This window comes from Homo sapiens, chromosome 11 (assembly GCF_000001405.40).
Source record: "Homo sapiens chromosome 11, GRCh38.p14 Primary Assembly".
In the NCBI taxonomy this organism is placed as follows: domain Eukaryota; kingdom Metazoa; phylum Chordata; class Mammalia; order Primates; family Hominidae; genus Homo; species Homo sapiens.
Genome location: NC_000011.10, coordinates 62,141,522 through 62,159,683, shown reverse-complemented (window position 1 = coordinate 62,159,683; position 18,162 = coordinate 62,141,522). Strand labels below are relative to the sequence as shown.

The window sequence follows — 18,162 nt, the reverse complement described above, 5'->3', positions numbered from 1 at the left end:
TCTTTCAGGAGCAGGTTGTTCAGTTTCCATGTAGTTGTGCAGTTTTTAGTGAGTTTTATTAATCTGAGTTCTAATTTGATTGCACTGTGGTCTGAGAGACTGTTACGATTTCCATTCTTTTGCATTTGCTGAGGAGTGTTTTACTTCCAATTATGTGATCAGTTTTAGTATAAGTGTGATGAGGTGCTGAGAAGAGTGTATATTCTGTTGATTTGGGGTGGAGAGTTCTGTAGATGTCTATAAGGTCCACTTGGTCCAGAGCTGAGTTCAAGTCCTGAATATCCTTGTTAATTTTCTTCTCATTGATCTATCTAATATTGACAGTGGGGTGCTAAAGTCTCCCATTCTTATTGTGTGGGAGTCTAAGTCTCTCTGTATGTCTCTAAGAACTTGCTTTATGAATCTGAGTGTTCCTGTATTGGGTGCATTTATATTTAGGGTAGTTAGCACTTCTTGTTGCATTGATCCCTTTACCACTATGTAATGCCCTTGTCTCTTTTGATCTTTGTTGGTTTAAAGTCTGTTTTATCAGAGACTAAGATTGCAACCCCTGCTTTTTTTTGCTTAGCATTTGCTTGGTAAATATTCCTCCATCCCTTTATTTTGAGCCTATGTGTGTCTTTGCACGTTAAATGGGTCTCCTGAATACAGCACACCGATGGATCTTGACTCTTTATCCAATTTGCCAGTCTGTGTCTTTTAATTGGGGCATTCAGCCCATTTACATTTAAGGTTAATATTGTTATGTGTGAATTTGATCCTGTCAAATTTGATGCTAGCTGGTTATTTTGCCTGTTAGTTGTGAATTTTCTTCATAGTGTTGATGGTCTTTACAATTTGGTATGTTTTTGCAGTGGCTGGTACCAGTTGTACCTTTCAGTGTTTAGTGCTTCCTTCAGGAGCTCTTGTAAAGCAGGCCTGGTGGGGACAAAATCTCTCTGCATTTGCTTGTCTGTAAAGGATTTTATTTCTCCTTCTCTTATGAAACTTAGTTTGGCTGGATATGAAATTCTGGGTTGAAAATTCTTTTAAGAATGTTGAATATTGGCCCCCCACTCTCTTCTGGCCTGTAGGGTTTCTGCAGAGAGATCCACTGTTAGTCTGATGGGCCTCCCTTTGTGGGTAACCTGACCTTTCTCTCTGGCTGCCCTTAACATTTTTTCCTTCATTTCCACCTTGGTGAATCTGACGATTATGTGTCTTGGGGTTGCTCAAGGAGTATCTTTGTGGTATTCTCTGTATTTCTTGAATTTGAATGTTGGCCTGTCTTGCTAGGTTGGGGAAGTTCTCCTGGATAATATCCTGAAGAGTGTTTTCCAACTTGGTTCCATTCTCCCTGTCACTTTCATGTTCACCAATGCTCTGTGGTGGCTGGGACCCACCAAGCCAAACCACTTGGCTCCCTGGCTTCAGCCCCTTTCCAGGGCAGTAATGGTTCTGTCTCACTGGCGTTCCAGGCACCACTGGGTTATGGGAAAAAAAAATTCCTGCTGCTAGCTCAGTGTCTGCCCAAATGGTCACCCAGTTTTGTGCTTGAAACCCAGGGCCCTGATGGCGTAGGATTGGAGGGGATCTCCTGTTCTGCAGGTTACAAAGACATTGGGAAAAGTGCAGTATCTGGGCTGGAGTGCACTGTTCCTCAGGCACAGTCCCTCACGGCTTCCCTTGGGTAGGGAGAGAATTCCGACCCCTTGCACTTCCCAGGTGAGGCAACGCCCCACCCTGCTTTGGCTCGCCCTCTGTGGGCTGCACCCACTGTCCAACCAGTCCCAGTGAGGTGAACTGGGTACCTCAGTTGGAAATGCAGAGATCACCTGCCTTATGCCTCAATCTCACTGGGAGCTGCAGACTAGAGAGGTTCCTGTTTGGCCATCTTCCCAGCAATCCGTTTTCTTCTAGGAGTGTTGTATTTTTAGCTCTTACATTTAGGCCTATGATCCATTAGGAATTAAACCTGATATATGGTGTTAAGAAGGGCTGGAGCTTTTTAAAAACGTATCCAGTTGTTCCACGACAATTTGTTGAAAAAATTATGCTGCCCCCATTGAATTGCCTTTCCACCTTTGCCAAAACCAAGTGATTATATATGTGTAGTTCTATTTCTGGATTCCATAAAATTTCATGTATCTATGACTACCTTTATACCAATATACTATCCTGATTCTTGTAGCTTTGAGAACTAGGCAGCCGCTTGGGCTGACACTGGATCCATCACTGAAGGGGGTCCACCGAACCACAAGCATGTAGCCACAAGCGCAATCCCAGATGAGCCCCCAAATTTGTAACTGCCCAAGGGATTCACCTTGCCCGCTGCCTAGACAGAGCCTATTCATCAAGACAGGGGAATCAAAATAAAGAAAGAGTAATTCATGCAGAGCCAGCTGTGCGGGAGATCGGAGTTTTATTATTACTCAAATCAATCTCCTCCTGTAGCTTTGAAGTGAGCCTTGCAGGTAGTGTGACCTCTCCAAATTTGTTATTTTTAAGTTGTTTTAGCTATTGTAGGTCCTATGCTGTTAAATACAATTTTTGAGACAGGGTCTTGCTGTGTCACCCAGGCCGGAGAGCAGTGACACAATCACTGCTTATTGCAGTCTGGACTTCCCAGGCTCACGTGATCCTCCCATCTCAGTCTCCTGAGTAGCTGGGACTACAGATACGTGCTCAGCTAATTTTTGTATTTTTTGTAGAGGCAGGGATTTACGATGTTGCCCAGGCTGGTCTCAGACTTCTGGGCTCAAGCCATCCGCCCACCTCAGACTCCCAATGTCCTAGGATTATAGGTGTGAGCCACTGTACCCAGCATAAATATAAATTGTAAAACCAAATTTTTTCATAAGCTTCTATCCAAAAAAAAAAAAAAAAAAAGCCATTTGGGGCTGGGTGCAGTGGCTCATGCCTGTAATTCCAGCAATTTGGGAGGCCAAGACAGGTGTATCACTAGAGTGAGACCAGCCTGACCAACATAGCAAACCCCATCTCTACTAGAAATACAAAAATTAGCCAGGCATGATGGCACACACCTGTAGTCCCAGCTACTTGGGAGGCTGAGGCACAAGACTCACTTGAACTCGGGAGGCAGAGATCATGCCACTACACTCCAGCCTAGGCGACAAAGTGACACTCTCCAAAATAAATAAATAAATAAAAGGCCATTTGGAATTGGTTAAGACTGGGCTAAATCTTTTAGGGGGAAACTGACATCTTCAGTACACTGAGTTTCTGATCCATGAACACAGTATATATCCCACTTAAGTCTTCATTGATTTCTCTCAGCAACCTTTTGAAGTTCTCACTGTATTGCACAGGTCTTCCTGATCTTTTGTCAGACTTATTCCTTAGATTTTGATAATTTTGGACATTATAAACTGTATTCCTTAAATTTCAATTCCTGGTTGCACATGGCTAGTACATAGAAATACAATAGATTTTTGTATATTAACCTTGTATGCCAAGCCCATATTAATCCTAATAGCTTTTAGGTAGATACTATCAGATATTCTACAAGTTGTCTCTGGCAGGTTTTAATTCTTCTTTCCCAATGCCTTTTTCTTTTTGCCTTACTGTGCTGGCCAGAACTACCATAAAATGTTCAGAAGGAATGAGAGTGGGCATCCTTGTACTTGACTTGGTAGCAGGAGGAATGCATCTAGACATTCACTAGGAAGTGTTTGCTGGAGTTTTGTAGAAGTGCCCTATCAAACTGAGGAAATTCCCTTTAAATCTTAAAGCTTTTATCTTAAATTACTAGTATGGAATCATCAAATCATTGAATTTCTGTATCTATTAATTTAATCATATGATTTTCCTCCTCTATAATTAATAGTGAATTACATTAACTTCCAAATGTTAAACCTGCCTTGCATTCCTAAGATAAACTCTGTTTGGTCAAGATGCATTATCCTGGCCGGGCATAGTGGCTCACACCTGTAATCTCAGCACTTTGGGAGGACAAGGTAGGTGGGTCACTCGAGGCCAGGAGTTTGAGACCAGCCTGGCCAACATGGCAAAACCCCATCTCTACTGAAAATACAAAAATTAGCTGGGCTGGTGGTGCATACCCGTAATCCCAGCTACTCAGGAGGCCAAGGCACAAGAGTTTCTTAAACCCAGGAGGCAGAGGTTGCAGCAAGCCGAGATCCCACCACTGCACTCCAGCCTGGGCAACAGAGTGAGACCCTGCCTCCAACAACAACAACAACAACAACAAAAAGTGTAATCCTTTTTATTTAACTTGTTGGACTTGATAAAACTCTAAGAATTCTTGTGTTGATGTTCATGAGGGATAATTGTCTTCTTTTCTTGCAATGTCTGATTTGGGGATCAAAGCAATGCTGGCCTCAGAGACAGAACTGAGTATTCTTTCCTCTTATATTTCTTGTGAGAGGTTGTGCAGAATTAGTATTATTCCCTTAAATACGTGGCAACATTTACCACTAAAGCTACCTATGTCTACCGTTTTCTTTGTGATAACACATCTTTCATAGAGCTATGTAGGTTTTCCACTTCTTCCTAAGTAAACTAATTTGTATCTTTTAAGGAATCTGCATGGGTTCATCTAAATTGTCAAATGTATTCCTAGAAGTTATTCGTAATAGTCTCTTATTATTGTTGTAATATCTGTAGAATCTGTAGTGAAGCTACCTAATTTCTGACATTGGTAATCTATCTTTTCTCCTGATCAGTCTAAAGAGAATTTTCTTGAGCTTCTCAAAGAACCAGCTTTTGGTTAATTAATTTTCTATATTTTCTCTTCCTAATGTCTAATTTCTGTTTTACTTGCATGATTTCCCCTTTTCTGTGTACACTTTTAATTTGGTCTTTTTTTCCTAGTTTCTTAAAGTGGAAGCTGAGGTCACTGATTTGAGACCTTTTTTTCTAACACAGGCATTGAGCCCTATAAATTCCCCTCAGTACTGCTTTACTTGCATCACGGGATACAAAGCCGACACAAAAGCCAACTGTATTTCTATACACCAGCAATGAACAAGTAGAAACCAAAAATCAGAAAAACAATACCATTTACAACAGCTCCAAGAAAATAGTTACAAATCTAAGAAAATATGTACAAGATCTGTATGCTAAAACTATAAAATGCTGAAGAAAGAAACTAAACATGCAAATAAATGGAGAGACACGTCATGTTCACGGATTAAAAGGCGATCATAAATATGTTAATTCTCCCCAAACTTATCTATAGATTTAATGCAATTCTAATCAAAATCCCAGCAGGACTTTTGTAGCTAAGCTAATCCTAAAATTTAAATGGAAAGGTAACACTGATACAATAGTCAAAATAATTTTAAAAGAAAAATAAAATTGGAAGAATTATATTACCAGATTTTAATACTTATTACAAAGCTATAGTCATCTTGACTTATGTGGTATTGGCAAAAGGAGAGATGTACAGATCAATGGGAGAAAATAAAAAGTCTAGAAATAGACCCATACCAATATGGCTAATTCCTGACAAAGATATAAAAGAAATTCAGCAGAGAAAGGATAGTCTTTCCAACAAATGGTGCTGGAACAACTAGACATCCATCCATATGCTCCTAAACACAAACAAAAAACATAAACCTCATACTTAAAAAAAACTTAAAATAGATCATAAATCTAAACGTTAACATGTAAAATAATAAAACATTTAGAAGAAAACAAAGGAGAATTAGGACCTAGGACTAGACAATAGTTTCTTAGACATGACAAAAAAATCACACTCTATTTTAAAAATTTAATTAATTGGACTTCATCAAATTAAAATTTTTGTTCTCTGAAAAACACTGGTAAGTAAACAAAAAGACAAGCTGGGCTAGGCATGGCGGCTCATGCCTACAATCTCAGCATTTTGGGAGGCCAAGGCAGAAGGATCACTTCAGGCCAGGAGTTCGAGACCAGCCTGGCCAACGTAGCAAGATCCCATCTCTAAAAAAAAAAAAAAAAAAAAAAAAAAATTTTTTTTTTAAAGACAAGCTACAGACTGGGAGAAAATGCTGCAAAACACATATCTGACAACATATTTGTATCCATAATATGTAGATTCTTAAACCCAATGGTAATATAACAATCCAATTTTAAGATGAACAAAAGATTTGAAGACTCTTCACCAAAGACATACAGATGACAGAAATGCACATGAAAAGATGTTCACCATCAGCCATTAGGGAAATTCAAATTAAAGCCATGATTAGATATCAGTACACACCTATCAGAATGGCTAAAATAAGAAACAGACAATACCAAGTGCTGATAAATATGCAGACCAATTGGAATTACCTTTCTGCTGAATAACAACTTTTTCTTAAACACACTATGTAAAGATGCTTTAAGTGATATTTTGATATTGTGCTTTTAGACAGACACACTCGCCAATTGACTCAGTACAAGTGTCTAGTCAGAGAATATAGGGAAAAAAATTTGAATTGCACAACATATGTGAACAAAACATAAAATGCTTTTCTTGGCATGGGTAGAAACTTCCAGACTTCCGTCTATTGTGTTCACTATTTCCTCATTTTTAAAAGTGTTCTTGGATTTAGGCTTTATTTTGTCCTTAAGCAGAACTTCTGAAAAAGTTCAAATAGTAAACATATTCAGCTTTGCATGGAGGGGCCTCTGCTGCACAACTTAACACTGCCCTCGGAGCAGAGCAACTGGAGACAACAATGGAAATGGGCATTTCCATTGCTTGTGTTTCGATAAAACTTTAAAGAACCGACTGTGGCTGGATTTGGCCCACAGGCCATAGTTTGACAACCCGGGGCTACAGTAGCAGATATATGCATTCAGAAGGCAGCAGTAGGCAGCTCACAGGCAGGACCACAGCCAGCTTTCATTGGTTCTAAGCATTTAATTAGCAGCTGCCTGGTTTTGCTGGGGAAATATCTCGCTGCTTGCAAGCACTGGTCCCAAGGTGGTCTCAAGGGATACCCCTTTTCTACTCAGACCTCATGCTTCACCAGCACATAGATGCTCTCAAGTCCATTTGCACCTGAGCAGCACGGGTGGAGCCTGGGGAATGGAGAGGGTAGGGGACTAAGTGGCAGGGCCGTGTCAAGACCCAGGTCTTTCCCAATGAACAAACTCCCCTTTACAAACAGGGAGCACCCCAAAAAATAGGAAGGAGCTCCACCTGCCCCATCGTGACAGTAACTGACGTGTTCCTCAAGGGTTATCCAGGCAGTGGAACCACTCACTGCAGCAGCATCTCCGAGGGTGGGGGCCTGCACCTGGTGATCCTGAGGCACACCGCAGGTGATGGAACAGTACCTTCGTCCTGCAGGCCACTGGTGGCCCAAGACACACAGCTACAGGGCTGGGACTGAGGCGCCCAGTCTTCATGGTATCAACAGCAGGCTTGAAGGAATATACTTTATTAATCTACCTCCCAAACGCTAAAATGCCAAAGACTAAAATGCTAACATTCAGCTAAATTAAAACAACTATTTACAGAGCACTGTCTGCAGGCCATGTGGGGCTGGGCCCATTTCTTCCCCACCCACCCACCCAGCCCATCCTCCAAACAGGCCTGGGGCCACCTGCCACCTGCAGCAGAAACACCCAGCACAGAGGACGTTTATATACACCTGGCCAAGCCCTCCACAATGGCATGCCAAGAAGGAGGGCAACAGACCAAGACAGAGACCGACAGACAGACAGATAGACATGGACAGGAGGCGAGGCTGCCAAGAAGGCCGCAGGCCAGCCTCAGTGCTTCTTCAGGCTGTAGGCCAGGCTGCTGGGGACCCTGGCGCCCTGCAGGGGCGGTGAGTTCCAGACAGCAGAGCTGGTGCGCTTGTGATAGCGGGGCTTGCTCTTCTTGAAGATATCCTCCAAGTCCAGTGGGAGAATGGTTCCAAAGAGCTCCAGAAGGTTCGGTGGGTGGTAGTACTGGTGAATGATAGCCTGGCTGAGCGGGGTGCCTGCAGGAGACCACAGACCAGACACTGCCTTGGGGCTCTCCATGAACCTCCCCATCCCTTGCCCACCACAGAGCCCTGTCACCCTCTCCAACCTCCCTACAGAGAGCTCTGTCACCCTCTTCAGCCCTGCCCCTGCCTGTACCACCATCAAACCCAGAGAACGCCCTTGTGTCACATCCTTCCAACCTTCCTCTGGCAGCTTAACCTTACAAAGTCCTTGAGAGCTCGCATGAGCCAGGCACTCCTTGAACCTGTCCCGACCACCACCTGGGAGGCAGGTTCTGTATTCTCCCATTCAGCAGATTTGCCCAAAGGCATACAGCTAATAATGGCAGAGCCTGTGTTTGAAGACAAGCCCAGTTCCAGAGCTTAAGCATAGGATGCCATCCTTGACCACCTTGGCCAGCTGCTTCTCACAGACCCCACAGGCCCTGGTGCAGTGCTGAGGGGGCCTCTGGGCAGTGGATGTGGGAAGGCACAGTCCTGACAACGGGGCTGAGGAAGACCCAGGGGATCAGGAGGCCAGACATGCACCAGCACTTGCTCAGCACCAGGTGCGGCTCTAAGGGCCAGCCGTGAGCTCACTCATGTCACTCTCAACAGAACTCCTCAGCTGGGTCTTGTCTTCACCCCCCTTTCACGGATGAGGAAACTATTTAAGTAAGCTGTTCAAAGTCACCTCCGATTAGATGGCTTTGCAAGCGAGCTGGCTCCTGCTCACTGCCATCTCCCAAATGACTTGACACTAGTAGTTAAGAGGCTTAAAGCACATGCCAGTTACTGTAGGGTTCAGATGAGGTGAAACTCACAAAAACAAGTTTCTGTAGTGTGCCTACCAGCTATGGGATTCCAGGCCCTTCCCTCTGGGGCGTCTGCACCCCTCCCTGACTTCCGGCTCAGCAACCACTGCAAGGCACCCATGGTACCCACGGGCCCCATCCACTCTGGCAGCACCCACTTCTAGCACCTACCCTGCTCACTCAAGCTGGCCTTGCACTCAGGCCTGAGACATTGCAGTCACGCTCACCCACATTCTGGTTTAATGCTGGGGCCTGTAAACTCCAGGTCAGATCCTGCTCAAGTGCCTCATGCACTCCTCAAGGACTTTCCTGCCTCCCCGAGCTGGCTGGAAGCCCCAGGCTCCAGCTTGGTGTTCTGCCTAAACCCTTCCCCATTCTAGCTCTGCCTCTGCCCCAGGTGGCTTACTTAGGTCCAAGTCTCTTCAGCCCTGCTGGATGGGACTCTAAGGAAGGGCCTAGTCCAAGTCAGGACACCCAGCAGCATATGCCATGCCCAAGCCCAGCACAATTTCATATATTTGTTGAGAACAAAGGAACCCAACCTCATAGGTCTGGTCCTCAGGAAAGCACAATGACCACAGGGTGCCCCACACTCCCCAGGGCACATGCATACCCAAGGCTAGAGCCTCGAACTGCCAACTGAAGCACACGGCAGCCTCCCAACACCGCAGCAGCCAACCCACTACTTCCAGGGCCCTCAAGGTGAGGACCAGGGAGGGCCTGAGTCTCCCAGGGAGCTGTGGGCTTTGCTTACCTCGGGCCCAGGTGGGGATGGGCTTCCGGGGATGGGCCTCATCATCGGTGGAGTCGTCGCTATTCAGATCCATCCCGTAGTTATCTGGGTTGATCTTGGGAGGGGCCCTGTGCCCTTGCGGAGTCATCTGATATGAGGTACAAGCTGGAGACTGCAAAAACAAACGTGGCCGTCAGTTCCCTCCATGGCATTCCCATCTCTCACCACCGAGGAGTGCTGGGGCACTGCTCACCTCCTCCTATTTCACAGGAGAAACAAAAGGTGCAGGATCACTTTTTCTTTTTTTTTGAGACAGAATCTCACTGTCGCCCAGGCTGGAGTGCAGTGGTGTGATCTCGGCTCACTGCAACCTCCGCCTCCCAGGTTCAAGAGATTCTCATGCCTCAGCTTTCCCAAGTAGCTGGATTACAGGTGTGCACCACCACACCCGGCCAATTTTTTGTATGTTTAGTAGAGACTGGGTTTCACTATGTTGACCAGGCTGGTCTCGAACTCCTGACCTCAAGTAATCTGTCCCCTTGGCCTCCCAATATGCTGGGATTACAGGCGAGAACCACTGCACCAGGCCTACTTTTTAATTTTAAAAAGTCACAGAACACACACGACTCTGTATCTCCTTTTTTGATGCTAAGGTGTATTGCAAACTTTCTTCCAGGTCAGTGTGTCTAGAATCCTCCTGGGAACCACTAAGGAGACTCCAGGATTTGCAACGTAACCATCCATCATTGACAGATACCATACTAACTTCCAAGTTTTCCACATCTTAACAATGCTGCAATGAAAACATTGTTTTGTTTGGTAACAGCAGTGAAGTGAAAATAGATCAAATGCTCATCAAGAGGAGCCGGCTGAATTCCAGCACAATTAAGGTACACAGCCATCAAAACTAAGAAATTGACCTGTGTTGAAATAGACAGATGTCTATAATATACTAAGTGAAAAAAAACCATGGGGGTTGGGGGCCTGGAAATCAAGCCACCAAATGGTATGTGCCCATTTTAAATATGTATGTGTATGGGTGAAAGAGAGAGAGAGAGAGAGAGGATATCTGTGTGTGTGTTAAAAGGGTTACATAAGTAAAAATCTAGAAGGATATACAACGCGCTTAGTAGAGTTTTCCTGAGGGTCCCTTTTTTTAAAACTGTATACTCTTCTATAAAGTTTAGTTCCTTTTTATCCCCCACCTCAACAAATTCTACTTTTAGAATAACAAAGAATATAAAAAGAAGTAAAAACAATTGGGCCAAGTGTATCTGTCCTTTTCCTTAGGGGCCTAACACAGCCTGTGCCTCTAGCTACTGGGAAGAGAATAGAGTGGGCCCCTCCACCTGAGAGCCTCTCCACTGGGGCCCAGGTGGCACCTGCACGTCCACAGTCACATTCAGGGCCTTGCTGGCCCCTGCTGCCTCCTTGGCTTTCTTCTCTTGCTCCTCCTGCAGCTGCCGCTCAGCCAGACGCTGCTGCTCTTCCTGGAACCCAGGTGGCAATGGGGTGTTAGGGAGCTGTGCAGGTGCCCTTCCCTCCCCTCCCCTTCCCTCCGCTCCATTCTCCTCCCTTTCCCTCCCCTCCCTAGGCAGCCCCTGCTGCAGGAGTCCAGACCCGCCCACAGCTCAGGGCAGACCCCAGGGGAGCCCGCAACCCAGCTCCCCTCACCTTCTTCTTCTTCTCCTCCAGTTCCCTCTGCAGCTGCTCCTTCTGCAGCCGCAGGGCCTTCTCCCGCTCCTGCAGCTCCCTGAGGACCCAGCAAGAGCCTGTTAGGACAGGAAGTGGAGGCCCAGCCCAAGCCCTGTTCCCATCCCTGCTGGGGAAACCAGGCCCAGCCAGTAGGACACACCTTAGAAAGTGGGATTGCTGAATGGGCAACCAGCTTAGAGCCAAGAGCTGCGCTTTTGCCCCGGGGCTAGAAGTGTGCACACCTGAGGGTGCAGGGAACACAAGCTGGAGCCCAACATTTGGCCCCCACTTTTCCTTGTAACTTGGGTCTCTGAGCCTCATAACACTTTTATACAATGGAGACCATAACACATTTCCTCCAGGGTCAACATGAGAATCAAATGGGATAATCCACAATACCCCTTTTTATCCTAACCTTCAGGGCAGACACTGGCTCCAAGCATGAACAAGAGGCTGTGGATGAGTTCTGGAGTCACCTCCACAACACACTGGCTCATGACTTTGAACATGTCATTTAACCTCTCTGGACCTGTTTCCCCCTGTGTGAAGTGGAGCTGATGGCTCCCATGCCACCATGGGCTTCAACTGAGGACTAAACAAGGAAACAGGTGTAAAGCATGCAGCTCGGGTACCCACCAAAGCTGCCGACACTATGACTATCACACCGCCACCCTCAAAGCCCCCTGCTCTGCCCAGCACCCTGCACATTAGCTACACCCTACGCCTTCTCGCCTTCCCAGACTCTGCCCAGAGGACCAAGGACAGCTTTGTCCCCATCAAGCAGCCCTGACTCAGTGCAGCCCCCTGGCTGTGACTCTTCACTTATCTGATAAACCTGAAGCCACCCACGAAGATGGACACGGAAAAAACGTGCTGCCCGGTGTTTCCCAGGAGGTAGAGCGGGAGAGGGAACAGCTACGGGGCCTGCATGTCTCACACACACGGGCCTTGTGCTCTACTTCTGTGCACACAGACACAGGATCCCATGTATCTCCTGACCAACAGTGAGTGTGGCTTTTCCTCCTTGGCAACCCCACGACTCTCAGAACAACCAGGCACAGGGTAGGCCAGGGACAAATGCCTGTAAAACTAAACATGGAACTCTTGTCTATTGTACAGAGACCACTGCATCTGCACAGCTGGAAAATCCCAGGGCTCCTGGGTCCACGGTTCCCAAGGCAGGGGAACAGTCTGAAAATATCGGTAGGGGGTAATCTGAGTTATCGTCCTCACCAGGGGAGATGCATTTAGTGGGGACAGGGGCCAAGGATGCCAAACATCCTGCAATGTAACACAAAGATCTTTCCTGCCCAAAATGCCCATGGTGGCCCTGCTGAGAAATATCAGCTCATCCTCTGAGCACCACACTCCTGACAGTTACAAAAAGACACCTAAGAGGTCAGCACATGCAGCTGGAGGCAGAACCAAGCCAAGCCCTAAGCAAGCCCACCTATCACTCCTTGGATCTCCCATAGCCAATGGGCAGTGTATTCAGGTGGGCCTCTGGGTTTGGTGCCAAGGAAAGCACCTGCAAACCGTCACATGCAGGTGGGGCTGTGTCCAGGCAAGGTTCACACCGTCTCTCTTCCACACACATGGAAGGCAGGCAGGCGGGCCAGCAGGTCCCTCACCTCTCGGCCTGGAGCCGCTCCTGCTCCCGCCGACGCTCCTGCTCTGCCAGCTGTCGCTCCTGCTCGCGCCGCTCCTGCTCCCGCCGCTCCTGCTCGCGCCGCTCCTGCTCGCGCCGCTCCTGCTCCCGCCGCTCCTGCTCCCGCTGCTCTGCCAGCCGCTTAGCCTCGGCCGCCTTCCGCAGCCGCTCCTGCTCCTCTTCCTTCTTCTTCTGCAGCAGCTCTTGGTGCCGCCGCTCTTCCTCCTCCTGAAACAGAGAGCAAGGTCAGGTGCTGCGGCCAGGCCCAGGCCAGAGAGGCAGGACAGCAGCCCTACTCCCCCGAAGCCCAGGTGCCCCTCATATCAGCCACCACCACGGACAACCCAGGAATGGCGCCGTGGGACATCCCGAGCAAGGCTCTGCCAGAACCACCAGCAGCAGCCTGAAAAGGCATCTTGTGACAGCTGCTGCTGCTGTAGATTTAGCAGAAAGGAACCTCGGAGCCAAACTCGCTAGCTATGAAACAACGGGCAAGCATTTAAACCCTCTGGCCTGTTTCCTCGTCTATAAAATGGAGACTGCAGTTATTCCTACACTTCATGGGGTTGCTGGGTTGATACGCACAACACACAGCAGGGCCTAGCACACAGTAAATAACTGACCTTGGTGACTAGTCACATAACCCCTAATGGTGGATTTGCCTTCTCTAGAGTCCTAAGACTGGCTGGGAAGAGGTGGGCCCTTACTCTTATAGGCAGAACAGTCAGGGGGTGGACCATAACAGCAATTGTATAGAACTCTTAGCAGGCATCAGACACTACTGAGCATTTTACAGACATTAACACATTTAACCCTCACTGCTACTTGAAGACATGGAAGCAGAGAGGTCAAGCAGCCTGTAGAAAGTCACACAGCTAATAAATGGCAGAGCTGAGATAGGCAGTCTGGCTCCAAGTACAAGCACTTAACCCTCAAATTACTGCTGCTACAGGAGAGGCAGATTCTGGTCACCATCCCCGCCCTGGAGACTTCTGGGAAACCTCCTTCTTAGCATGAAGCAACAAGATGGTCTGGGTCAACCCCACAAGGTGGGGTGCACCCAGTAGGGCCCCATGGTGCTGAGACAGCGCCCACCCCGCCCACCTCCTCCCTGAGGCCCACCTGTGCTCGCACCTGCTGCAGCCACCTGAGCCTACGTGCCTCCTCTTCCTGCTTCCTGCGTGCTTCCACCTCCTCCATCTTCTTGGCCGCCGCCTTTTTCTTGGCCTTCTCCTCTGCCAGCCGCTCCTCCTTGGCCTGCAGAGCCCACCCACACATGCCCATTGGAGCACCCACATTCAATCCTGCAGAGTGGAGCCCAGAACTGTGTGTGACAGGCCCCACCTGCCCCTGCACACCTGGCTTGTTCCCACCACCCAGGGAGAGGACACCAGAAGCCGGTCCTGCCTGAGTGTCAGACCCCACTCACAAAGGGCTGCCAGGGAAACCCAGAGCTGAGTGGACTCCAGGGCCCATGGGGCAGACAGGAGATGGGTACAGGGGTACAGTGACAAATCTGCAATTTCCTGAGGGGTCCAGTCCTAACCCTTGGCCCAAGTCCTGAATTGCCTGGGCCTCCACAGCCCAGGCTCCCACCTTCTCAGTCTTCTCGTCGATCTGAGCAAACTTCTGCTCAATCTGCTTCTTCTTCTCCTCCTTCATCTGCTCCACCCGCTCGCGGGCCTGCAGCACCTTGCGGAGGCGTTCCTCACGCTTCCTGCGGGGCATAGGATAGTCATGGGGAGCCCCACCAAGGCTGGGATGGGCCACAGTCCAGGAAGCCAGGCCACTTACAGCTTCACCTCCTCCAGCCGCCGCCGCTTGTCCTCCTCCACCTTCTGCCTGCGCAGCTGCTCGGCCTCCTCCTTCCGCCGCAGATTCTCCAGGCGCTGCCGCTCCTTCTCCTGGGGTGGCGGGGAGCGAGGGAGATGGGACATGAGCAAGGACGACCCCCCACCCAGCCCCAAAAGCTGCCCACAGTCCCCAGCAGCCTGCAGCCACGTGGGTGGCAGCATCAGAATGCTTCTTAGGCAGAGGTATCCCCAACGTGGCCCCAACAGCACCCAAGCCAAGGCCCGCAGCTCCCGCCTTTCCTCCCAGGAGCACTCAGCTACCTCGCAAGGGCCTGAGCCACAGTGCCCTCCATTGAGCCCTGCCAAGTTTTGGGCAACACAAAAGTCAGGCTCCAAATAGGATTTATGTGCTAATGACAACTACATAAACTGTGCATTGAAAAAGAAAATGAAGGATGAGCTTGGAAGGGTGAGGAGCAGAAAGGCAGCTCTCCCAATCATGGTGAATGTTCTAGTAAGGGGGTGGTGCAGATGCAAGGTTTAACTTACTACTGTCATGCTTTATAATATCCATACTATATGTATACATATATTCTATTGTGTATATCAACTATTTCATAATAGTTGAAAAAAATAAAAGGAAATATTGACAAATGCTAACAGTCTAGTGAGATGGATTAGGGATGGTATTAATTTTCTTTTATTTTCCAAACTTCCTGTGACATGGCTATGCACTTTTTTTTCTTTTTTTTTTTTTGTGTGGAGACAGAGTCTGCTCTGTCACCCAGGCTGGAGTGCAATGGCGCGATCTCGGCTCACTGCACCCTCCACCTCCCAGGTTCAAGCAATTCTCGTGCCTCAGCCTCGCGAGTAGCTGGAGCTACAGGCATGTGCCACCACACCCAGCTAATTTTTGTATTTCTAGTAGAGGTGGGGTTTCACTATGTTGGCCAGGCTGGTGCTGAACTCCTGACCTCAAGGGATCCGCCTGCCTTGGCCTTCCAAAGTGCTAGGATTACAGGTGTGAGCTACCACACCCAGCTGGCTATGTTCATTTTTAAGGCAACTTTAAAAAAGTACTAGTTGGCTGAAAAGCTGATTGATGCTGGCACCCCCTCCTGGGCAGACACAGAAAGTCCCAGGGGCACAGCCACAGCAATGGGCAGCCAGCAGGGATGGGCAGGGGCTCTAAGCCCTCCCTGGCCAAGGACAAGGCTAGTGCTTTCCCCTTGAACAGTCTGGGGCTGGGTGGAGGCTGGGACCCAGAGGGAAGCCCCACACCCATCACCCCAACCTGGCTCCCAGTAGACTCCCACCTTTAGGCACAGTGTCCAATAGCTTCCCCCTCTTCCTGTACTGGTTACTATCGATTTCTCCTTGGCTTCTGAGCCTAACTGGAGGAGCACTCTCGCCTAGAAATCTGGCTCCAAGGTAATACCATCCTCCCAAAGACGGAGAGAAGGGGTCCCGGGAACGGGTAAGATGGAGTGGACATACTCCACCTCTCTCTCCCACTGAATGCAGCTACAAAACCTGGACAGAATGCAAGGAGCGGCTACTTGAGGCCTCTGAAAACTAAAGAGGAGCAGGCAGATAGGGAAGAAGACCAGACTTGGAAGCACCAGCCAACCAGCAGTGAGTTCTCCATTGTTTTTCTCCAGCCTAACTCAACACAGCCTGGAACTCCAAAGGAGTCACTGGGGCACGGACAGAAAGAATTCCAGGACAAGCCCTCTAGTCCTGACTCAAGCAGCAGAAAGGGAGTATCTAATGCTCAGAGAAGGCAGAAATCCCATTTTTGTTTGTTCTCTTTTCTTCTTTGCCTTGTGCCCCAGCCCACAAGCAGTCCTATGGCAACCAGGGGCAGCAGCAGTTGAAGAAAAGCTGCCAAGTCAAAATTCGAGGGAGGAGCTGTGATCCCAAAAGTGTGGGCCAAACCCTGTGTGTTGCTCTTCTGTCTGTCCCCCTGCCAGGCGACCCTGGACAGAGAAAGCTGCCAAGTCAAAACTCAGAGGAGGAGCTGTGATCCCAAAAGTGTGGCCAAATCCTATGTGTTGTTCTTTCCCTGTCCCCCTGGCAGGTGGCCCTGGACACAGTCGTAGAAGCACACAAAGCAGAACAAGGTAACTGAAGCCCCAGCTTCCTGGCTGGAGGACAGAAAAGGGAGCCCCAGAGGAGATCGGGAAAATGATGCTGCAGGTTATTGACGAACGCCCAGGCTCAGCTCTAAGCTGCAGATGCTAGGATCTGATCCTAATTACCACACCGAAGGCTGAGAACTAAACTAACAGACCACCTGCCAAGTCCCAGGCTGACTGCTGACTGGCACACACCCGGGAAAAGTCCAAACAGCACTGCCATCTTCAAAATCGGGACTAACATTGGAACCAGAGTCCACAGAAGGCAGATGGGAACCTGCAGCCTAAACCTAACCAGGTCAATTGCTACTAAATTGCAATGCTGAGAAAATATCAACATTGTCCATAGATTTAAACAAGACCCAGAGACTCATAGCAGAATGTTCAGGATGCAGTCCAAAATGACTCCGTAGCCCCCTGGTCTCCTAACTATGGACTGTCCCCACCCACTAGATGCTTTGTGCAGGGACCTGGGATCCCCAAAGCAGGAAAGGGGACCACTTCCTGGTCTTCTCTATCACCCTGTGAGACCTGCAGGGCTCTAATCGGCACAGGTGGTAAGGCCACTGGAAGGTATACTGTCAGTCACCCTCTCCAACAAGAGGGGAACAGGCCTCCATGCGGAGAAGCCAGCTCAGGGCCCACCTGGCCAGCTGCTGGGAAGCCCCTCTCACCTGCCGAGGCCCTCAACTGGAGGCAGAAGCCCTCCCGGCTGTCACAGGTGTCCCTGTGTGGCTGCAGAGGACCCTTCAGAAGGCTTGCAGGAACTAAAGGAATGAGGTGTCTGTGGCCTTGGCAAATGGCACAGGGAGCTGGGGCTGCAGGCTAAGCATGTCCCCATCTGAGGGTCCTTGCTCAGGGCCTGCCTGGCTCGGCTCAGCTCTGAGGTGTCTGAGAAGAGAACAGCTTCTGCGACTTGTTTCTAGACGCTACCACCCACTGTTCTACTGTCACCCAGCACAGCAAGACCCAGCACTTCCACCTCAGTTCAGACCCACACTTGCGCTCCCCCATCACCCCACTGCCTCAAGGCTACTGCTCAGGTCTGTGAACCAATAAATCTCAGTAGCTCTGGGGACCACAGACAACCTGTCTGTTCTCTTCAAAGACCCACAGACCCTGACGGGGCCTGGTGCAGGGGAGGAGGGAGGGAAGGTGGCTGTGGAGAACACATCAAGCTGTAGCCCTGGTGAAAAGCCACACCCCCTTGCTTCCTCCTAAGAGCAGAGTCAAGGGCAGGGAGGGCAGAGAAGGACGCTGGGGCCCAGAACTGCTGGGCGCCTCCAGCCAGTGCACCCCTCACCGTCCCACTCTCTTCCTAAGGCTCCCCTCCCGCTTACAATGTTAGTGCATCTACAGGTGCTGTCAGCTACGCAGGGAAGGGGCTACAGCGGGTGAGTGCTAGGTGGGGCGAGGTTACCGACAGGAAAAGG

At 48.9% G+C, this 18,162-nt stretch overlaps 1 protein-coding gene across 8 annotated transcripts in view, besides 1 other annotated feature; it reads right to left on the bottom strand.

The window, feature by feature from the left end:
- Positions 1 to 6,514: 6,514 nt before the first annotated feature.
- Positions 6,515 to 18,162, bottom strand: part of INCENP (inner centromere protein) — a 29,159-nt gene continuing 17,511 nt past the window's right edge. For 2 of the 8 annotated variants that reach the window (XM_011544995.4, XM_011544997.3), the window contains 8 exons: positions 14,593 to 14,702; positions 14,395 to 14,515; positions 13,921 to 14,055; positions 12,782 to 13,026; positions 11,130 to 11,208; positions 10,805 to 10,945; positions 9,477 to 9,627; positions 6,515 to 7,922 (listed from right to left, as the gene is read on the bottom strand). In XM_011544995.4, coding sequence (XP_011543297.1) covers positions 7,708 to 7,922; positions 9,477 to 9,627; positions 10,805 to 10,945; positions 11,130 to 11,208; positions 12,782 to 13,026; positions 13,921 to 14,055; positions 14,395 to 14,515; positions 14,593 to 14,702 — 1,197 coding nt within the window. In that variant the 3' untranslated portion in view covers positions 6,515 to 7,707. The remainder of the gene's footprint in view (positions 7,923 to 9,476; positions 9,628 to 10,804; positions 10,946 to 11,129; positions 11,209 to 12,781; positions 13,027 to 13,920; positions 14,056 to 14,394; positions 14,516 to 14,592; positions 14,703 to 18,162) is intronic. The other 6 variants (XM_006718533.4, XM_047426886.1, XM_011544996.4 and 3 more) reach the window with 3 other exon arrangements.
- Positions 14,040 to 14,201: a silencer, noted in NCBI's record as "fragment chr11:61912955-61913116 (GRCh37/hg19 assembly coordinates)". NCBI's record gives its function as "represses an EF-1alpha promoter that drives an FKBP-Casp9 reporter gene in an ReSE screen in HepG2 liver carcinoma cells {active_cell/tissue: HepG2}" and the evidence as "EXISTENCE:reporter gene assay evidence [ECO:0000049][PMID:32094911]".